A 22242-nucleotide genomic window follows, 5' to 3' on the forward strand; every position below is an offset into this window, starting at 1 on the left:
ATGAAGCAAACCCACACAGGCTGACTGTGGCTCAGTCCTCCTGGGGGCTCTGGAGACCACGCAGATCACACCCCACAGTTAATTCCGCGTAGGAGCAAGGCCACCCACACCCGTCAGTCCTGAGTAAGGGCCAGGCCCTGGGCCACACACATTCCCAGGCACTTCTGCCCTTCCCTGAACAGGCACAGCGGGCCCGTGGCCTGGGGACTTCTTCCATCTGGGAGACATAGGCGCTGGCTGCCAGAGGTGAAAACACTCAGGAGCCAGTGTGCTCGAAAATGGCACAGGGACTCGGGGGGTGTGAGCGGGACCCACAGATGCAGTGCACAGAGGGCAGAGCCAGCCTGGGAGGGAGGAGCTCCCCGTGTTTAGGTGGAGTGGTTAGGAGTAGGAGCAGTGCACAGAGGGCAGAGCCAGCCTGGGAGGGAGGAGCTCCCCGTGTTCAGGTGGAGTGGTTAGGAGTAGGAGCAGTGCACAGAGGGCAGAGCCAGCCTGGGAGGGAGGAGCTCCCCGTGTTCAGGTGGAGTGGTTAGGAGTAGGAGCAGTGCACAGAGGGCAGAGCCAGCCTGGGAGGGAGGAGCTCCCCGTGTTCAGGTGGAGTGGTTAGGAGTAGGAGCAGTGCACAGAGGGCAGAGCCAGCCTGGGAGGGAGTTGCTCCCCGTGTTCAGGTGGAGTGGTTAGGAGTAGGAGCAGTGCACAGAGGGCAGAGCCAGCCTGGGAGGGAGGAGCTCCCCGTGTTTAGGTGGAGTGGTTAGGAGTAGGAGCAGTGCACAGAGGGCAGAGCCAGCCTGGGAGGGAGTTGCTCCCCGTGTTCAGGTGGAGTGGTTAGGGGTAGGAGCAGTGCACAGAGGGCAGAGCCAGCCTGGGAGGGAGTTGCTCCCCGTGTTCAGGTGGAGTGGTTAGGGGTAGGATGAGAGGTACCATGGCCAGCGCCCCAGGAGGAATGGGCTTTAGCTTCAGGCCTTACCTGCAGCCCAGCGCAGCAGGGAGCCTCAAGGAACATCTAGCCACTCCTCTTCCAACCCCGGCAGCTCCTCACAGTGACACGCGATGTTTTCAAAAGTCCATCTTTCCACAGGATGTTTACAGCACCCAGCGGGTAGGCAGTGCTATTTATTAACCCTGTTGTACTGATGAACAAACCAGCCGGCTCAGGGCAGGGGGTGAGCTTGATCAAGATCACAGACAGGAAGTGACAGCGGGGTCTCAGCCCAGGCCATGCCTGACACCCACACTCTTCTCTGGTGGGGGCGCTTCCACCTTTGTCCCTGGAAGCCCAGCCTGACAGCTTCTGCAGTGCCTCTGGCAGCCGCCCACAAACCCAGCCAGGCAAAATCCCAGGGTGCCAGACACCAGGAGAAATTTCCAGGGGAATTTGGCCATTTGGCTGTCTCTTCACTTCCCTGAAAAGCCAAACAGAGAATGGATTTCTTATCACACTGTAGCAAGGCAATCAACTGGAAAAGAGACAGGAGGAGAAGTGTGAGGACCAACAGTCACAGGGACCCAGGAATCGTGTTAGCCACAAGTGATCTTCCAGTATCCCTGTAAAGAGAGCTACAGGCCCATTTTACAGAGGAGGAGACCGAGGTTCAGAGAGGGTAAGAAGTGAATTAGCCGGGCGCAGTGGCTCACACCTGTAATCCCAGCACTTTGGGAGGCCGAGGTGGGCGGATCACAAGATCAGGAGATCGAGACCATTCTGGCTAACACGGTGAAACCCTGTCTCTACTAAAAATACAGAAAAACAAAATTAAATTAGCCGGGCGTGGTGGCGGGCGCCTGTAGGCCCAGCTACTCAGGAGACTGAGGCGAGAGAATGGCATAAACCCGGGAGGCGGAGCTTGCAGTGAGCCGCGATCGCACCACTGCACTCCAGCCTGGGTGACAGAGCGAGACTCCATCTCAAACAAAAAAAGAAGTGAATTAATTGTCCATGTCACACAGTGGTAAGGGGGAGTGCTGGGATTTAAACCAGACCTGCAGGGCAGAAACTTGTACTCTTTCTGCCATACCACCCAAATGTGGCAGCTTCCCCAAAGCTGAGCATCTCTTATTTCAGGCATTTCATGCTTAATTTATTGAAAATGTCCATTCTCATATTGCTAAAAGTTCAAATATTGCTAGAGAGCAGAAAATAGTGGCCATGGTTAATTAGAAGCTGGAAGAACAATAAGAAATCCAAAATTAGTTGACAATTCCTAAACGTCACAACTTGATGAAGCCTGGAGACACTCTGTTTCTTCTAGGCAATGGCTGTGCCCTATCTTCTGAGAAGAAAGTTCAGTAATTCCCTGAAAAGTCAAGGTAAGAGCCCTCTGCTCCCCCACCCCCATGGGCCTGGGAAATGAGCTTCGGGGAGGAAAATGACCAGTCGCAGCTCTGTGTGTTTCTTCATTATCTGTGGGACATATCTCATGTCCTGACTCCCAAAAAACATTCCCAGTGCCGCTCGGGCCACCCTCAGGACCCAGCAAGTTGGTGTTCTGGACAGCTGGAACTTGCTGCTTTAAGCGTGCAAAGGGGGCCCTGGTGGCAGCGGTGGTGGTGGTAGTGGTTTCCATGGTTTTCTACATAAATTGTCCTAACGTGGTACACAGTTCCTGGCCTTCTAGAAAGTACGGCTCATCATTTAGCCTTCCTTGAAGGCTTGGTGGTGACAAGGACATTAGCTTTGTCCTGGACGAACGGGATGTGAGGCCTCCCCAGCACGTGGCCGGGCTCTTGGGGTATCTGTGTGCTCATCTCATTCACTCACCTTGTGACCCAACCACTGCTCACCAGAGGCTGGTAGCTCCTCCCCCCATTCAGAGTCCCGTCCCTCTGCTGTCGAGCTGTTTCAGGCCCCCAGACATTGTTGGACTGATCTCCTGTTGTCCCTGTCTTCTGAGCTTTGCCCTCACACACACCATTGTTCAAACTCTGCCACAGCTGCAGTCCTTGCAGACAGTGTGTGTCCCTCCTCTGCTCACAAGCAATCCTTGGCTCCCAACTGCCTGCAGAATGAAGTGGGATTTCTTAGCATAGCCCTGCAGACTTTGGCCATTTGTCACACACTGGAGCCAGCCTGCCCCCTACTACACCCGCCCAAGGATGCACTTCCTTCCCGTGCGTAGGACAACGCACAGCGGACGCTGGTTTCAGAGCGCACCAAGCAGGCACTTGCCTCCACGCCTGGGTGTGCCCCCTCCCTGCCCATCTCTGTCCTGTGAAGTCCTCCAGGGCCAAGTATGAAGCCTCTCCCCCGGGGCTCTCCACCGCCTCCCTGCAACACCTGGCACATCAATCCCTCTTTCCAGCCAGCTCACTCCTTGATCAGTCAGCCACCCCACCTCCATGCCAGCTCGCTCTTTGCATGCCCTGAGCTCCCAGCACACATTCTGGTCAATCCTGGGATACAGCTGGTGCCCAGGGCCCTTTGGGGCTAATCCCAGATTCAGGGTCACCAGCCAGGAGGGCAACTTTGCCAGAGATGACCCACTAAGGAGCTGCCAGCAGGGGCTCCTGGAGAGCCATGTGCTGGCTCTGCGGGGAGTTTCCTGCACATCTCGTGGGCTGAAATCCAGGTGGAGATTCTTGTTTTGTTTTATTTTGTTGAGACAGGGTCTCACTCTGTCGCCCAGGCTGGAGTGCAATGGCGTGATCTCAGCTCACTGCACCCCCCGCTTCCTGGGTTCAAGTGATTCTCCTGCCTCTGCCTCCTGAGTAGCTGGGATTACAGGTGCCTGCCACCATGCTAGGCTAATTTTGTATCTTTAGTAGAGACGGGTTTTCACCACGTTGGCCAGGCTGGTCTCGAACTCCTGACGTCAGATGATCCATCCACCTCGGCCTCCCAAAGTGCTGGGATTACAGGCGTGAGCCACCGTGCCCGGCCAAGAGATTCATGTTTGTAGCAGGAGGACAAGGGGCGATTCCTTGTGTCCTCTGTATGACTGGTTTTGTGAAGGGTAGACTCTGTCCTATCCAGAGACCTCACTCACCTCCAGTCCAAAGCCAGAATAGCTCACCCCCGGCCCCCTGAAGCTCACAGGAATTTTGGGGTCTGAAAGGCAAAGCTGAGGCCTGACCCTTCACATTTCTCCCCGCCATCCTCACCAGCATCTGCCAAGCGTGGCCACGGGAGCTTTTCACTGTCTGCAGAGGCCAGCCCCGCACACTGGCAGGTCCTTGGGCCTCCAATCCCGGGGTCTGTGGGGCCTCATGCGACTTCACTGCTCAGGAGTCGTGATCCCTCGAGTTAGGTGATTCCCTCCACAGAGGTTAGTCCTGGAGCGGGGACGGAGGGCCGGCAGGCCAGGCCACATGACCCTGCAGAGAGGGGAACAGCACAACAGGAGCACGCTGCTGAGCCAACTCCCAGAAAAGGAAAAGGACAAAGTCCTGGCCTGTAGCATGTGCCAGGTTCTGTGGCGTAAATGCTCCCACCCTGGCTGATCGCAAGCTCCCAGCTGATGTCACCGAGCGTGGGGTCAGGAAGAGGTGCCCACAGTCAGCTCTCAGGAGCCCTGACAACTGGCTCCAGTCAGGCAGGCCACAGAAGACATGCAAAAGTGAAGAAGGGCGGGTGCCTGCACCAGCCACCTGGACACCAACACTCAACTAGGATGTGAGGCCAGATGCCCCCAGCTACACAGCCATGGCCCCAGGAGGTGCCCTCTGCTGAGGGTCAGCATCTGAGACCCCTTGGGCTGTTGCCGTGTCTCACAAAGGAAAGGCAAGGAAGCCAGGCATGGTGGCTCACACCTATAATTCCAGCATTTCAGGAGGCCAAGGCGGGCGGATCACTTGAAGTCAGGAGTTCGAGACCAGCCTGGCCAACATGGTGAAACCCCATCTCTACTAAAAAATACAAAAATTAGCCAGGCATGGTGGTGTGAACCTGTAGTCCCAGCTACTTGGGAGGCTGAGGCAGAAGAATCACTTGAACCCGAGGCAGAGGTTGCAGTTAAGCCAAGATTGCGCCACAGCACTCCAGCCTGGGTGACAGAGCAAGACTTTGTCTCAAAAAAAAAAAAAAGAAAGAACAAAAAAGAAAAGAAAGTCAAGGAAATGCGAAGACCACACACCAGTGCAGTGTGATGGGCCTTTCTGCTGCTTCATTAGTGTGAGGATTTCCAGGGCCACAGTGAGGAAGAATGTTAATGCCAGTGCCAGAGCAAAGGAGAAAGAAGTTGGCAAAACTGTTGATTTGCATGACAGCTGAAATGTAAATACTTTTTAAAAAATATGTGATGTGGAAGCTTCTTAAAAGGGGATATGTCCATTTTTTTCTACCTTTTAAATTTCTGAGGAGGCCAAGGCACTTGTTTGGGCTAAGTATGTGATTGATAAAGCACCATCCCTCTTCCTGTTTTCCCCAAAGGTAAAGATGATGATTCTTTTGATCGGAAATCAGTGTACCGAGGCTCGCTGACACAGAGAAACCCCAACGCGAGGAAAGGAATGGCCAGCCACACCTTCGCGGTAAAGTTTTCTCTCATTCTCTGAGGAGTTTTTAAAGTTCAGTGACCCGTCAGATTTATGTATTAAAATTAAGTCTTCAGAGCAAAGAAAATGGAGATAAACAAAACAAAGATTCAGACCTGAGAATCAAAGCAAAAAGTAAAGTAAAATCTTTGCCAACGAGGGCTTGAAAATCTAAATACTTTGAAATTAGAATAATATCTTGTGTTTTAGAGCTTTAAATTTTCAAATATCTGCTGTCCACACACCCCATTGGAGGAGGACCTGTGTCACTAACCCAAATTTGTAGCTGAGAAAACAGAGGCAGAGAGAGGTTAAGTAAAAAACCCCAAGAGAGTTCACCTAATATTGTGAAGAAAGCAAACCCAGGGTTTCACTAACTTGTCCATGTGTGTATGTGTGTGGCTGCGTTCACCCCTGTGTGTGTGTGTACTGTGTGCATGCCTGTGTGTTTGTGCACACCCATGTGTATGTACCTGCATACACACCCAAGTGTGTGTGTTACCACAACGAAAGCGCAGATTTATTGAAAAGAAAGTGCACTCCACAGAGTGGGAGCAGGCTAGAGCCAGTGGCTCAGGAGCCTGGTTACAGCATTTTCTGGAGTTTAAGTGCCCTCCAGAGTTTTCCCATTGGTTACTTGGTTATACTCTATGCAGATGAAGGAGTGGCCCCAACCAATGTGATCAGTCGCAGGAGGCAACCAATCAGAGGCTGAAGGGAAGTTACAAAGTTACACATGAAGACTTGGCCGATGACCAGTCTGGTTGGTTGCGGGAGGGGACCAATCCGAGGTACTTTCCATTTTCATCTGAGATGCAGTGGAAAGGGGGTATAGCAAAGGGAGTAGCTGCTGAACCTTTTGTTCCTCAGGCATGGAGAGGTGGGGTTTTCATTTTGATTCAGTTCTAGGAAGTCAGCACGAATTGGCCTTAGGTTCCCTGCCTCCAGACCCTATTCTCTTGCCTCACATGCATGTGTGCACAAACGTGTAATCTAAATTTGTGTCTACAGATGTGCACATCCATGTACACACCTGTGTATTTGTATGTGCATGCCCATGTGTGTCTGTGTTACATGCCTGTGTATGTGTGTGCTTATATGTGCATGTGTGTTTGTACTTTACAGAAACCTGTGGTGGCCCACCAGTCCTAACGGGACAGGACAGAGAGACAGAGCAGCCCTGCACTGTTTTCCCTCCACCACAGCCATCCTGTCCCTCATTGGCTCTGTGCTTTCCACTATACACAGTCACCGTCCCAATGAGAAACAAGAAGGAGCACCCTCCACATGGACTCCCACCTGCAAGTGGACAGCGACATTCAGTCCTGCACTGCTCACCTGGGTTTACTGATGACTCCTGGCTGCCCCACCATCCTCTCTGATCTGTGAGAAACAGCTAAGCTGCTGTGACTTCCCTTTAGGACAATGTTGTGTAAATCTTTGAAGGACACACCGAAGACCTTTATACTGTGATCTTTTACCCCTTTCACTCTTGGCTTTCTTATGTTGCTTTCATGAATGGAATGGAAAAAAGATGACTCAGTTAAGGCACCAGCCATATGTGTATTCTTGATGGTCTATATCGGGGTGTGAGCAGATGTTTGCGTATTTCTTGTGGGTGTGACTGGATATTAGACATCCGGACAAGTGACTGAACTAATGATCTGCTGAATAATGAAGGAGGAATAGACACCCCAGTCCCCACCCTACGTGCACCCGCTCTGCAAGTTCCCATGTGATCTGTAGACCAGGGGAAATTACACTGCGGTCAAGGGCAGAGCCTGCACATGACAGCAAGTGAGCATTTGATAGATGCTCAGATGCTAGTGCAGAGAGCCTGCTGGGAGACGAAGAGACAGCAGGCAGAGCTCCAGATGGGCAAGGAAGAGGCTTGGTTCTAGCCTGGCTCTGCCCCTCACTGCAGTGGATCCAGTGGGGCAGAGGACAGAGGGTCACAACCAATGAGGGATGTCTGCCAAGGATGGGGGTGCAGAGGCCACAGGAGTCAGCTTGCCACTCGCCCATTGGTTACATAGATGATCTCTCAGACAGGCTGGGACTCAGAGTTATTTCCTAGTATCGGTGTGCCCCATCCAGTTTTAAGTGGAGCCCTCCAAGACTCTCCAGAGCTGCCTTTGAACATCCTAACAGTAATCACATCTCACCCTCCCTGAGGTTCACTTTAGACAGGACCCAATGGCTGCACTGCCTTTGTCAGAGGGGGTGCTGAGAGGAGTGGCTTCTTTTAGAATCAAACAGTAGAGACAAGAGTCAAGCCTTGTGTCTTCAAGCATTGACCAAGTTAAGTGTTTCCTTCCCTCTCTCAATAAGACACTTCCAGGAGCTTTCCAATCTCTCACTTAAAACTAAGGTTTGAATCTCAAAGTGTTGCTGGGAGGCTGATACTCCTGCAACTTCAGGAGACCTGTGAGCACACATTAGCAGCTGTTTCTCTGACTCCTTGTGGCATCAGATAAAAACGTGGGAGTTTTTCCATATAATTCCCAGCCTTACTTATAAATTCTATTCTTTGAAAAAATTATTCAGGCTAGGTAAGGTGGCTCATACCTATAATCCCAGCCCTTTGAGAGGCCAAGGTGGGAGAATTGCTTGAGGCCAGGAGTTTGAGACCTCCTGGGCAACATAGTGAGATCCCATCTCTACAAAAAACAAAACAAAAAAATTACCCAAGCATGATGGTATATGCCTGTAGTCGTACCTACTTACTTAGGAGGCTGAGGCAGGAGGATCACTTGAGCCCTGGAGGTTGGGGCTGCAGTGAGCCATGATCGCATCACTATACTCGAGCCTGGGCAACAGAGTGAGACCTTGTCTCTTAAAAAAATTAATAATAAATAAATGAAAATAATTCTTCAGAGTTCCTTTCCTAGCAGATGGCTATTCTGGAGATGTGTAGTGGAAGCTGCATACAGGCAGGTCAGGGATCCCTGAGGCTAGTGTACCCCAACCAGTACAGCTGCTGGCTCTTTGTTTCCAGCTAAAGATTGACAGAAGTCAGTGGTTTCTCTATGACTCCAGAGGGAGATTAGAGACAAGCATTTAAAATATTTCTCCAAAGTTTTATCCTCCAACAGTCTTATTTATAAGGGGAAAAAGAAAAAATTTTAGGAAGCGTTGAATGCACAGATCTCCCAAAGATGCTTCTTACAAATGAGCTATGAGTGTGCAGCAAAATTGCACTCCCCAGATAATCCAGTATCCAACATATTGCAATATAGCACCCAGATCACCAAGGGATACCTTGCCTCACTGCAGATTATTGGGGTGAAACACAATTTGACAGGTGTAGCTCCCAGCTCTCAGGGATCAAACCAACCATGCATTACAGTGTTGCAGTTTCACTGATTTTATGTCAAGCCATTGTTTCTGTAAGTTCCAAGGATTTTCACTTTCCAACAGCTCTATCCAAAAGAACCCACTTTACTGGGGGCCAAAAACCCATCCCCAAAAGAGTAATAGTAATGGTATTGTCACTTGCTGGGCTTCTGAGAGCCCAGCTAAAGCTCCACTTTAGCATGCTGGTGACAGCCAAGTAATCCTCACATATTCACAATGCTCATAACTTCAAAGTTATTCTTATAGAGAATATTTATTACATATGAATTTTTTTTATTTTATTGGGATAAAACAGAAAAGATAGATATGCAAAAGAAAAAAAATACATAAAAAAAGAATCATCTACCCACTAGCAACCACTGCTAAGTCCTTGCAGACATTGGTTCACGTATTAGCTTTTAATAAAACTCCCACAAGTTAATATACTAGTAGGTGAGTAAAGCCCATTCCAAACATGACCGCACACCTATATCTTCCCAGGAAAGAGCCAGCCCCAGAAATAAGTATTTTACCCATGTATGCTACCCATATTCCCCTGAAAATATCTACAGCAAAGTCTTCCCAGAGACAGCCTTGCTGTCTAAATGAACAAACTGCTCAGTTATTTCCAATGAACACACCTGCAGCTCAATGGCATCTGGGCTCAGAGTTCCAAGGACATGGCCATGCTGGGGAAAGGAGTATTTTGCTACATCACCACAGACACTTGTAACAGTCTATGATTGTTAATTTTATGGATCAAATTGGCTCAGCTGTGGTGCCCAGATGTCTGATCAAACACCAGCCAAGATGTATCTATGCAGGTATTCTGTAGCTGTGATTAAGGTTTAAATCAGTAGACTTTAAAGCAGATAACCTGCCATAAAGTGGGTGGGCCTTCCCCAGCCAGTTGCAGGCCTTAGGAGAAAAGACAGATGTGCCCTGAGCAGGAAGGAGTTCTGCCTCCAGACTCCAGGGACAACTTTCCTCCTTCGCTGGGTCTCCAGCCTGATGGCTAGTCCTGCAGGATTCAGACCTCCCAGGCCCTGCAATCTTATGAGCCTATTCCTTAGACTAAATCTCTCCTCCCCCTCTCTCTCTCTCCCTCCCTCCCTCTCTCTCTGTTCTCTCTCCTCTCTCTCCCTCCCTCCCTCTCTCCCTCCCTCCCTCCCTCTCTCTCTGTTCTCTCTCCTCTCTCTCCCTCCCTCCCTCTCTCTCTCCCTCCCTCCCTCTCTCTCTGTTCTCTCTCCTCTCTCTCCCTCCCTCCCTCTCTCTCTCCCTCCCTCCCTCTCTGTTCTCTCTCCCCTCTCTCTCTCTCTCCCTCCCTCCCTCTCTCTCTGTTCTCTCTCTCTCCCTCCCGCTCTCTCCGTTCTCTCTCTCCTCTCTCTCCCCTCTCTCTCTCTTCTCCACACACACACACGCTATTGGCTCTGCTTCTCTGAAGAGCCTTGACCAATGCACAGTCCCTATATAAGAGCCTTGTCTGATGTTCAGTGTGTCTGTGTTTGAAACTTGTAAACTGGTTAGATGGGAGCTATGTGTGAGGGACGGGGAGCACCGTTTATTTTATCACAAATGCAATGCCAAGGTCCCAGAGCCGTGGCCACGTGGGGTAGGGGAAGCCTTCCTCCGGTGCTCAAATCTCACTAGCACTTTCTCTCTCAGTTCTCAGAGATGCCACTTTCTGGATGACTCACACTTCAAAAGCACCTTTCTAATTTACAAAGAGGAGTGTTTTAAAATCTCGTAAGAGTCTGGATTTTCAGAAGCCATCTACAGCAGAAACAGCTTTTCTGGTGACTGAATATTGCTCTTGCCGTGGCTGTTCCACAGCTGCAACTCGATGGCTTCCAATTCCCAAGGTTACCTCTCCCATCAGGCTGTGTAGTGTCTTCCTAGGAGGCCAGAAGAAACACACAGGCCACAGCCACGGTCCGCTTTCTTCTGGGAACAAGCACAAGGGACAGACATTTCATCAGTCCACTCAGACACACGTTTGAAGCCCTGCATTAGTTTCCTGTGGGTGCCATAACAAAGCCCCACAAACTGGTAGATTACAACAGAAAGTTACTCCCTCACAGTTCAGGAGGCCAGAGTCCAAAATCACAGCATCAGCAGAGTCGTTTCCATCTGCAGGGCCTGAGGGCAGGCAGTTCCTGGCCCCTTCCAGCTGTGAGGTTGCTGGCATCCTTGGTGCTTCTTGGCTTGTAGCTGCCTCCCTCCAGTCTCTGCTTCCATCTTCACATCGCCTTTCTCCCTGTGCATTTCTGCGCGTCTGTCCTCTTCTTATCAGGACACCAGTTGTTGGATTTGGGGTTCACCTTAATCCAGGATGACCTCATCTTAACTAATTACATCTGCAAAGATCCTAGTTTCCAAATAAGGTCATATTTGAGATTCCAGATGGGAGACTCCAACCCACTACAGAGCACCATTATGGTCCAAGAACTAAAACCAAAACCAGCTATCCATGAAATCAACTGTCCATCATGGTGCTGTTGCTACTTACCAAGTGCCTGCTACAGGCTGCACATTTACCATGTTGAGGGTGAAAGCTCAAAGATCTCAAAACTGAAATGCACCCCAGAGTAGGGTCCTCTCCCCATGTTGAGTACAGGAAGAAAGACTAGGAGGGAGGGAGGCTCTCAACTTGGGGCTCTTTTTTTATATATTTATTTATTTATTTAGAGACAGAGTCCTCCTCTGTCTTCCAGGCTGGAGTGCAGTGGCACGATCTCAGCTCACTACAACCTTTGCTTCCCTGGCTTAAGTGATTCTCCTGTCTCAGCCTCCCAAGTAGCTGGGATTACAGGTGCCCACCACCAGACCCAGCTAATTTTTGTATTTTTAGTACAGACAGCGTTTTGGCATGTTGGCCAGGCTGGTCTCGAACTCCTGGCCTCTTGTGGTCTGCCTGCCTCGGTCTCCCAAAGTGCTGGGATTATAGGCATAAACCACTGCACCTGGCCTTGGAGTGCCTATAATTGCAAAGAGCAGAAATCCACTGAAACCAGCCCAAGTGAAACAGCGAGCGTGAGAGAAGAACACAGAGCCTTCTCTTGGGGACCCAGGAAAACCCAGCGATCCAGTGCAGCAGCCACGGGGGCTGGGGTGGCTCTGCAATGGCCACGGCCTCGAGGCTTCTCAGCCCCCCTTGTGCCCTTCTCTTCCCTCTTGACTGTGAACTGCTCCTCGGCCGGTTCAGCAGGTGGCCTCTCTCAATGGCCTCTCCAACCCCCAACTCTAGGACTGTTCCCTCCAGCGGCCACAACTTATTTTTCCAGATGCCCGAGAGATAGATGGGCGGGGCCGTGTACATGCGAGTTGCTAGCCAACCTAGAGACAGCCTGTGCCAGAGAAGAGGTCGTCTTGCCCGGACAAGCAGGGTAGCAGGTCACTTCAACCCGTTCACACAGCACAACACTCCCACACAGTGCGTTCTCTTGTTCTCCCACTTTACACAATGGTTTTCAGAAACAGCACGAGGCTGTCACAGTGTCGACTGCACACCTGTTGCAACAGTTTGCCAGCTGGAGACCTAGACCCAGGGCAGCAAACGGCAGGCTGGGCCAAAGCCAGCTGCGGCCCATCTTCCTAAGTGAGGTTTCATGGGAGCCCAGCCACACCCATTCATCTGCCTTTTCCCCATGGCTGCTTTTCTGCTGCAACAGCAGATTTGGCCAGCTGCCACCAAGATCCTATGACCCACAAAGCTGGACACGTTTACTATCTGGCTCATGGCAGAAGAAGTTTGCCAGCTCCGTGTTCAAGATTGGATTTGGAGTGTCCCCTACAGACCACAAGCAAACGAGCCGGCAGGTGGGCGCCGTGATACAGTCCCTGACTCGGATGATCCCTTCTTTGTTGCGGGGCAACTCTGCCTTCTTCACTCCTCCCCGCTTCTACCCGCAAGACCCTCCTCCCTGGTACTTTCTCCGGGTCCTTCACTGAGTCGTTTTTCTCTGTCCACCCTCCGCCACCTGTCCTCTTCTTGTCTTCTCTCAGGTGTGCCCACCTTTCCCTGGCTGTTCACAGCCACCTGTCCTCTGTCCACACCCATGTTCAGGTTTACGGCTGAGGCCTCGTTAAAGAGCTCTGGGCTTCTTTGAGGTCTCAAACGTAAGCAAAGAAATAAAGGGTTCCAGGCCCAGCGAGCAGCCACCTGGCCACCCTCTAGGGCTCCTCAAACACCTGCCCACGACTGACCTCAGCATTTCCCCATCCCCAAGGCTCCCATCTTAGCCCCCCAGCTCTCAGTCTGGAAACCCCCGACCCATGACCTCCGAGCTCACTCCTTTTCTGCCCCTCACCTCAGCCCAAGTCCTACCCCATATGTCTCCTAGACAGCTCTGGAATTCCTATCTTTACCAGATCCTTTCCAGAGGACAGGAAAAAGGGGAAGCGTGGCTCCTCTTTCATAAGGCTGGTAAGACCTTCCTACTGAATGCAATGTGAGGAAGGAGAAGTAAAGGCAACATATGTTAACATATTTATTCTATAAATTAAATTTTCTTTTTTGTAGAGATAGGGCGTTGCTATGTTGCTCACGCTGGTCTCAATCTCCTGGCTTCAAGCAATTTTCCCACCTCAGCCTCCCAAAAGTGTGCTTGTACTACAGATGTGAACCACTAAGCACAGCCTAAAAGATCTATTCTAAATAAAGTATTCATGAAACAAATCCCAGAATCTATTAGAAAACCTATTGTATCTTACCAAGGTAAGGTTCATCCCAAGAAAGCCAGGAATTCTTTAATGTTAGAAAAAAATATATATTCTTGCGGTCCACTGTGTTAACAGAGTGAATGAGAAAACCACTGTGATCACTTCATTCAATGAAGAAAGGCACAGAAGAATAAATCAGTAGCTGGCCGGGCACGATGGCTCACGCCTGTTATCCCAGCACCTTGGGAGGCCAAGGTGGGTGGACCATTTGAGGTCAGGAGTTGGAGACCAGCCTGGCCAACATGATGAAACCCCGTCTCTACTAAAAATACAAAAATTAGCCAGGCGTGGTGGTGGATGCCTGTAGTCCCAGCTACTCGGGAGGCTGAGACAGGAGAATCGCTTGAACCTGGGAAGTGGAGGTTGCAGTGAGCCGAGATCGCGCCACTGCACTCCAGCCTGGGTGACAGAGCGAGACTCTGTCTCAAAAAAATAAAATAAAATAATAAATAAATAAGTATCTTAGAAAATTAGGACTGGAAGGCGTGGCAGTCAGCATCTTTGCTGTCATTATACCCGTGGCCTCCAGGAGGGTAGCATGGCAGGCAGTCATACTTTCCCCAGGGAGGGGACTTTCCTGCACAGGTTCTAGTTTGTATGTGCCACAACTCAAGTGGCCACATCACATTCTGGATGAAATACTGACCAACAGAAGCTGGACCAAGAGTGCTTGGCTCTGCCTTTCCTGAGGCCCATGACGCAGTTAAATAGGGGATGGGGAGAAGCTCCCTGACTGCCTGTGGTCAAAACCCATCTGTGGGATTCATTTCTCTAAAAACACTGAAGCCATGTGCATCCTGAAAGCCCCAGGCCAGGCCTGCAGTTCTGTGACATTCTTGCAAGAACAGCCCACACCTCACTCGCCATCACAGCATCTCCGGCCAGCCACAGTGCCTCTCAGCGGTTCTGAGGTCTCTGATGGACACCATCGCCTTCTTCGTGGGGGTGGGGTAAGCAGGATTGATGCCTGTGCTACTGCCCAGCCCGCCTGCTGCCTCCCACTGGTGGACTCCCAAAGTGGCAAGATGCCAGTGCCACACTGTGACAGCGCTGCTTTACACACACACACACACACACTCCAGTGGTGGATGCCCAGAAAGCTGCCCCCAGGTCCTGGGGTCTCAGTTTCTGCTGCTACAGGCAGGCCTAGCACTGGACAGAAAACACACCTCCAAGATGGTGATACTTAACCACCACTATCACCACTACAGGTCAAGTTCCCTTATCCAAAGTACTTGGGACCAGAACTGTTTTGGATTTTAAGGGTTTTTGGGGGGAGGATTTTGAAATATTTGCACTATACTCATGAGTAGAACATCCCAAATTTAAAATCCAAAATGCTTCAATGAACATTTCCTTTGAGAATCAACTCAGCACTCAAAAAGTTTCCGATTTGGGGTTTTTGGATTTGGGATACTCAACCTACATTTGTAAAAACTATGGGTAAAAACTATGGATGGGGAGCTTTTCGCCATCACTGATGCCTGAGCTACCCCCACAAATTCTGATGGAATTCATTCCAGGTACAGCCCAGGCATTAGGAGGTTTTTAAGGCTCCCAAGTGACTCTAATCAGCAGCCCAAGCTGGGAGCTGCGAACCCCACCCCATCACCCTTCCCGTGCTGCTTACCCTACTTCCCGCCTCCAGCTACCCCTGGGCTCCAGAGCTCCCAGGGAGCCCACCAGCCACAAACCTGTGTCACTGGGAAAAACAACTACGCAGCAAGGAAGAAGCCACTGTGTCCTGTTCCCTGAAGGGGAAAGTATTGCCCAGAAGCTTTTCCTAAAGGATGGAAGTGGCACATTGACCATCTGCGCCAATCCATGGGAAGCACGTGCCAAGTTTCCCCTCCAGAAATTTTCCTTAAAAAGATTGTACTCAACTGCATATAAGTGGTCATGAGTATAACCTATAATTATTCAGAACATGAATGATTTAGATCCACCTTAAATGGTAGAACATTGCACAGTTACTTAAAATGGCACAAACTTGCAGATTTTTTAGCAACTTGAGGATGTGATTGTTACAGTGTTAAGTGAAAAGAATGAAATTCAACATGTATAAATGTGATCAATCTACCCAGAAAATATGTCGGAAGCTCACTAGAAGAAAATGCATCAAATGTAGACGCGAGAGGCTTTCTTTTTTTTTTTTTTTTTTCTTTGAGACAGAGTATCGCTCTGTCGCCCAGGCTGGAGTTCAGTGGCAGGATCCCAGCTCACTGCAACTTCCACCTCCAGGGGGTTCAAGTGATTCTGCTGCCTCAGCCTCCTGAGTAGCTGGGATTACAGGCGTGCGCCACCATGCCCAGCTAATTTTTGTATTTTTAGTAGAGACAGGGTTTCACCATGTTGGTTAGGCTGCTCTCGAAGTCCTGACCTCATGATCCACCCGCCTCGGCCTTCCAATGTGCTGGGATTACAGGCATGAGCCACCACACCTGGCCACGAGCAGCTTCTTTAACATGATCAGTGCTATTTTTTCTATTTTGTTGTATGCACTAATATTTTTCCAAATGTATATGAACTGCTTTAATAATAAAAATGTATTTGTTTCTTTTATAATAAAAAATAAGCTTGTCTTATGAGAATAATAAACTTGTTTATGTTAAACATTAATTATAAAGACTGTAAAAGTCTAGAAACCACCTGTTGTAAGTTATAGAGTGCTTGCTTCTGCAGCACATATACTAAAATTGGACCGATACAGAGAAGATTAGCATGGCCCCTGCGCGGAAGTTACAGAATGAGGAAGACATGGTGTGCACACGACAAATGCAGGTAGGACAGTCAGGCAGGTGAATGAACGAGGACCGAGAAGATCGCAAAGATACAAAGCCGCAGTGCTGGGCTTTGGTGACTGTCCCTGCTCACCTTTCCCTTGAATGTGAATGCGGTGATTTAAAGGCAGGGAGAGAGGACTGGAAGGAGTCCGGGAGCCCCATCTGTGAGGCCCAGCGGACACTTGACACTGCAGTCTGCCCGAAGGCGAGCACGAAGAAGAGAAGCTAATGTGTTTTAAAACCACTTGGTCCAAATGAAATTATATAACCCAGGAAGGAACAAATCGCATCGCTGATGAGTTTTGTTTTGTGTTTTTTTTTTTCAATAAAGGAACGAGAAGAGACACAGGCTCGCTCCTGATGCCGCCCTGTGAGGGAGACAGGCTGGCTTGGGGGAGGGCACCTGGGGGTGCCGGCTTCGTCCTCTCGGGGGCTATAAAAGGGGAACAGAGGCTCCCGCCTCCTCGGCTCCACTGCACCCGTAGCCAGGACAGCTCCTCTACCACACTCGAGAACGGTGAGTTGCACATCCAGGCGCTGGAGCTTGGGCCCTCTGCTTTGCTACTTTGTAAAATCTTCCCTTGCTGTCTGAGTGTGGGTCGGGTTGAGACCCTGCCTGCTCTCCTGGCAGCTGAGGCTAGGCCTAAGCAGGAGAGGCAGAGACGGCTGGCCCCTGGGTTCTTGCATCCAAAGCCACCCTGCCCTCCCAGGGCACCAAGGCTCCGGCGCTGTCCATGGTGGAGACTCCAGACAAAGACGTCCCATTCAACTCCGCTGACCAGGAAATCCCACGGGGCAGCCGGCCAAAGTCTCCACCTCTCAGGGAGGCAGGTCTTTGGGGATCAGGAGCCAAGTGAGCATCGTTAGCATTCTCGGACACCCCTCAGGTGGCGTGGGTCCCGTGCCAGAGGAAATGCAAACGGCCAGCCTGCTGGGATGAATCTCTTTATCACTCTTCAAGGTGGCACCTCCATTTCCTCTAGACTGGGGAACCCCCCACCCCACCTAGCATGGGACGCCCCTCCAGGTCTCTAAAAAGGAAAGGTGTAGGCATTTTAAATTGTTCTGATGGAGAGCACTTTCTGTGGGGCTCAGGGAGGGGCTGGAAAGTCAAGGTCGGCAGGGGGATCCTTCCCAGAGCAAGATGGAGCTGTCGGGCATCTTCCCATGGCACCCAAAGTGCCACAGGTGGAGGAAGGAGGAGGGGTGCCTGCAGCAGGTGTTTCCAGGTCTCCCATGATGGATGCTGTTTAGGCATTTCAGCACCTCCACTCCAGTGGGGTGGAAGGGGCTTTCCATGCACCTGGTGTCATCCACGGCAGCCCCCTCCTCCCATCACCGATAGGAAGTGGCCCTGCCTTGTGAGAAGAGGTCCCAGATGCTACAGGCTTACCTTGGAGCCTCAGAAGACTGGATCTAGCGTCATGGCAAGGGTGAGTGGGCTTACTTAGGGCAGAGGATGCAGACTCATTCTACGACACGCAGCTGTCGGCTGACATTCCCCAGCAGGGCTGGGCTGGCAGGCTGGAACCAGGCATTAGGAGGCGCTGAGATGAATGTGGGAAGGGGCCGTGCACCGGATTCCAGCCCCTGAGCCTGGTCCAGGCTTGGCACTCCCCAGCTCCCCAACCATGTCTGAGGTTGAGCAAGGGGCTGCCTCCACCTGTGCAGCTCCCTGGGCACCTCCCCACAAACCTGCTGTCCTGGGTGTGCAACATGCACAGCCGTGCAGAGGCCTGCTGCACCTTCTGATCCCTTAACACAGGCGGACAGACGGACCCAAGGCTGTTCCATGACAGCCCCCCTTTATAACGCGTAGCTCACACCTCCTGAGGGCTTTCTGATCATGAGCATCAATGTACATGTGACCGATCCCGTTAGAGGCTGACGCGCACAGAAGCATCTCACTTAACACCTCATTGCGCAGAGGAGAGAATGGGGTCACAGGCGGGTGGGGGACCATGCAGAGAGCCAGGTTTAACTGCTGTTTCTGTGCTTATTCCCACCTCAGCACAGATCAGAGGAACACGTGGAGATCTATGTGGCTATGTGCACGCGCACATCTACACACATACATACACATCTACACACTCACACACATCTACACACATACATACACTCACACACAACTACACACACATCTACACACATACACACACATCTACACTCATACACATCTACACACACTCACACACATCTACACACGTACACACACACATCTACACACACATCTACACACATACACATCTACACACATACATACACACATCTACACACATACACTCACACACCTACACTCATACACACATACACTCACACACACATCTACACATGTACACTCACACACCTACACACATACACATCTACACACACTCACACACACATCGACACACACACATCTACACACATATCTACACACATACACACATCTACACACATACACACACACACAGCTACACACACATCTACACATACACACACATCTACACACATACTCACACAACTACACACACATCCACACACATACATACACTCACACACAACTACACACACCTACACATACACACATCTACACACACACATCTACACACATACACACAAACCTACACACATACACACATCTACACACAGACACATCTGCACACATACACACGCATCTACCCAATACACACAGACACACTACACACATACACACACATCTACACACACACACATCTGCACACATACACACATCACACACTCACACACATCTGCACACATACACACACATCTACACACATACACACAAACCTACACACATACACACATCTACACACAGACACATCTGCACACATACACACGCATCTACACAATACACACAGACACATCTACACACATACACACACATCTACACACATACACACATCTGCACACATACACACATCTACACACATACACTCACACACATCTGCACACATACACACACATCTACACACATACACACACACCTGCACACATACACACATCTACACACATACACACACATATCTGCACACATACACACACACAGGCACCCATGTGCACACACCACACCCTCTTGTACACATATACATACACAGCTGTGCACTCACATGCACACAGGCTCATGCACATACTTCTCTCTCACACACAGTGCTCACTCTACCCAAGGTCCCAGCTCCGTGCACACGCACCCTGATGCCTGTGTGACGCTGCTCCTGCCCCTTCTCCCCCAGGCCGTGTCCTCCTCATTTGGATCTCCCCTCCAGCGGGGCCTCCTCGGAGGAGCCAAGGGATGAAGGTGCTGAGGGCCTGGCTCCTGTGCCTGCTGATGCTGGGCCTGGCCCTGCGGGGAGCTGCAAGTCGTACCCATCGGCACTCCATGGAGATCCGCAGTGAGTGCCTGGACCCCTGTCAGCCTCCCTTACCCCACCCTGCCTCACCCCAGAACCTAGTGCAGCCTGGTCGCTCGAGAACCTGGCAGGAACGGGGTGCGCGGGAGGAAAGGGAAGTCAGTCTTGGTGCTTTTTTGAACTCCTGCTTCCCAAAGCCAGCCCACGCCCAGAAATGGCCTCGCCAGAACCTCTGGGTGCCTGTTCCTCGGGTGGCTCCCAGCATGGCCTGGCGACTGGGCTGAGAGGCCCTGCCTGTGCACTCTGCCCCGCTGCCTCTGGGAGCACAGCACACCCTGGGGACACGTGCCCATGGTCTGCTCCAGCTCTTTCCTTTCCAGCCCCTGACATCAATCCTGCCTGGTACGCCAGTCGCGGGATCAGGCCTGTGGGCCGCTTCGGTCGGAGGAGGGCAACCCTGGGGGACGTCCCCAAGCCTGGCCTGCGACCCCGGCTGACCTGCTTCCCCCTGGAAGGCGGTGCTATGTCGTCCCAGGATGGCTGACAGCCAGCTTGTCAAGAAACTCACTCTGGAGCCTCCCCCACCCCACCCTCTCCTCTCCTTCGGGCTCCTTTCCCTTCAATCCTAATAAAAGCTCTGGTCTTCAGTTACACATTCACGACTGTGTGGTGGTGACTCTGAAGTTGTTCCCTCCTGGGACATTAGACTAGAAAGAACCTCAGAGCCCAGCAACTTCTTTGGAAGAAAAGGCTTTGTGACTTGGCAGAGGGCACTTGGCACTGAGTTGGGGCGCTGGGTCTACCCTTGGTCACCGGCAGCCCACAGCCACCCCCACACCCAAGCTGCCCTGAGTGGCTGCCCAGGCTGTCCACTGCAGAAGGCCAGGAGGTGCCACGCGTCATACTCTGCAGGACACTGTCCCCATAGGACGGTAGCACAGCCCCCAGCCTGAGCCCTGGGCAGCCCCTCAACTTCAGTCCTTTTTATTTAGACTATTTTTCAGAGCAGCTTTAGGTTCACAGCAAAATTGAGTAGAAGGTACAGAAAGTTCCCATCCACCCCCTTCCCCCACATCCGCACAGCCTCCCCCATGATCAACACCCCCACCGAGGGTGCTTTTGTCCCAGTCGAGGAACCCACACTGACACATCCCCATCCCCAACCAGCGTATGTCAGAGCCCACTCTCCACGCTGTGCGTCCTGTGGGTTTGCACAAATGTACAACAACACGATGTGGCATCACGCAGAGTCGTTTAACTGTCCTAGAAGTCCTCTGGGCTCCCCCTACTCATCCCTGCACCCCGCAACCCCTACAACTGCTAGTCCTCTCATTGCAGTCTGTCTTGCCTCCCTCTTACTCAGGGAAGATGCATCATGGATTGTTTCTGACCCATGGCAGGGAGACTTGAACCTAGATTGCTCCCACGCCACGTGCGTCCCTTTCAAATCACACGGGGATGTCTCCACATCCTGCCTCAGGTGTAGCTTAGGTTGGCATTGGGGGCACACTTGCACCACCTGGGAGACTGAGTTCATCCCGTGAATCACTGAGCCTCAGTTTCCACAACTGCATGCCACAGAACAGCAACGCTTACCTCATTCCTCAGCTCCGTGGGCGTGGCACCTGCACGCCTGCCGGCACAGGGTGGGTGCTCTGTGAGTGCAAGCCCCTTCCCCAAGGCCCATCCTCCACCCAGCCATGTAACAGGCTTCACCAGCTCCCTCCAACCCAAAGCTTGGCCTGGACTCTTGCTGGACCCTGCCTGCAGATGCTGATCTCAGGAGCCCATCCTGACCACAGCCCTCTTGGCCATCCATGCTCAGAGGGGCCAGTGGCAAGGCCCAGACCACCTACACGGGGCTGAGTTGGGGTGACTGCACCTCCCCAGCTACAGGGGAGCCCCTCCAGCCCTGAGCCACCTCGCCAGGGTAGAGTGAGCCTGCAGGAACAGGAAGGGGGGCAAGGTCTGTTCCGAAGGCAGCAGGGGCTGGGTCAGGCCTTAAAGAGGCCACAGCCCTCAAAAAGTTAAACACGGAGTTATCAAACGACCCAACAATTCGCCCCAGGTGTAGACCCTGGAGAACTGAGGGCAGGTGCTCAGCACATCACAGCAGCGTTTACAGCAGCACCCTTCCAAGTAGCCAAAGGGTGGACATGACCTGAATGCCCATTGCCTTAGTCAGTTCGGGCTGCTCTAATAAGATAGCATAGGCACAGAGGCTCAGCCAGTAAACACTCACTCCTCACAGTTCTGGGGGCAGGAAGTCCAAGATCAAGGTGCTGGCTGATCCGACACCTTGATCCGACACCATCTTCCTGGTTGACAGACACCGTCTTCTCGTTGTATCCTCACATGGCAGAGAGCAGAAACAGGAAGCAAGCTCTCTAGCCTCTTCTTATGAGGGCACTAATTTCATCCATGAGGGTTCCACCTTCATGACCTAATCTCCTCCCAAAGACCCGATCTCCTAATACCACCATAATGGGGGGAGGATTTCAACATATAAATTTGCAGTGGCGGGGACACAAACATTTCATAACACCCATCAACAGAAGAATAGAAAAACACAGCGTGGTCTA

At 51.4% G+C, this 22242-nt stretch overlaps 2 protein-coding genes and 1 pseudogene across 17 annotated transcripts in view, besides 1 other annotated feature; all 3 read left to right on the top strand.

The window, feature by feature from the left end:
• Positions 1–8351, top strand: part of MLPH (melanophilin) — a 68913-nt gene extending 60562 nt beyond the window's left edge. For 14 of the 16 annotated variants that reach the window (NR_104019.2, NM_001281474.2, NM_024101.7 and 11 more), the window contains 3 exons: positions 2250–2307; positions 5366–5466; positions 6595–8351. Coding sequence is in view for 15 of the 16 variants with exons in the window: in NM_001281474.2 (NP_001268403.1) it covers positions 2250–2307; positions 5366–5466; positions 6595–6621 (186 nt within the window). In the remaining variant the exon portion in view is untranslated. Of the gene's footprint in view, positions 1–2249; positions 2308–5365; positions 5467–6125; positions 6261–6594 lie in introns of all 16 variants that reach the window. The other 2 variants (XM_017004893.2, XM_047445806.1) reach the window with 1 other exon arrangement.
• On the top strand, positions 16194–16261 carry RNU6-1140P (RNA, U6 small nuclear 1140, pseudogene; annotated as a pseudogene).
• Positions 16452–16952: an enhancer, noted in NCBI's record as "H3K4me1 hESC enhancer chr2:238472066-238472566 (GRCh37/hg19 assembly coordinates)". NCBI's record gives its function as "activates a minimal SCP1, AML or CMV promoter by ChIP-STARR-seq in primed H9 embryonic stem cells {active_cell/tissue: H9 hESC(primed)}" and the evidence as "EXISTENCE:reporter gene assay evidence [ECO:0000049][PMID:30033119]".
• On the top strand, positions 19603–20204 carry PRLH (prolactin releasing hormone). The gene is made up of 2 exons (NM_015893.1): positions 19603–19702; positions 20041–20204. The coding sequence occupies exons 1-2, from the start codon at positions 19603–19605 to the stop codon at positions 20202–20204; spliced, it is 264 nt and encodes an 87-aa protein (NP_056977.1).
• The last annotated feature ends 2038 nt before the right edge of the window (positions 20205–22242 follow it).

The sequence above is a fragment of the Homo sapiens genome, chromosome 2 (genome assembly GCF_000001405.40).
Source record: "Homo sapiens chromosome 2, GRCh38.p14 Primary Assembly".
Taxonomy (NCBI): Eukaryota; Metazoa; Chordata; class Mammalia; order Primates; family Hominidae; genus Homo; species Homo sapiens.

Bases quoted from the DNA above. Each gene is read 5' to 3' on its own strand.
- PRLH (NM_015893.1), top strand. From the start codon at position 19,603: ATGAAGGTGCTGAGGGCCTGGCTCCTGTGCCTGCTGATGCTGGGCCTG. The intron at 19,703-20,040 runs GTGAGTGCCTGG...TTTCCTTTCCAG, and splicing joins GCACTCCATGGAGATCCGCA to CCCCTGACATCAATCCTGCC.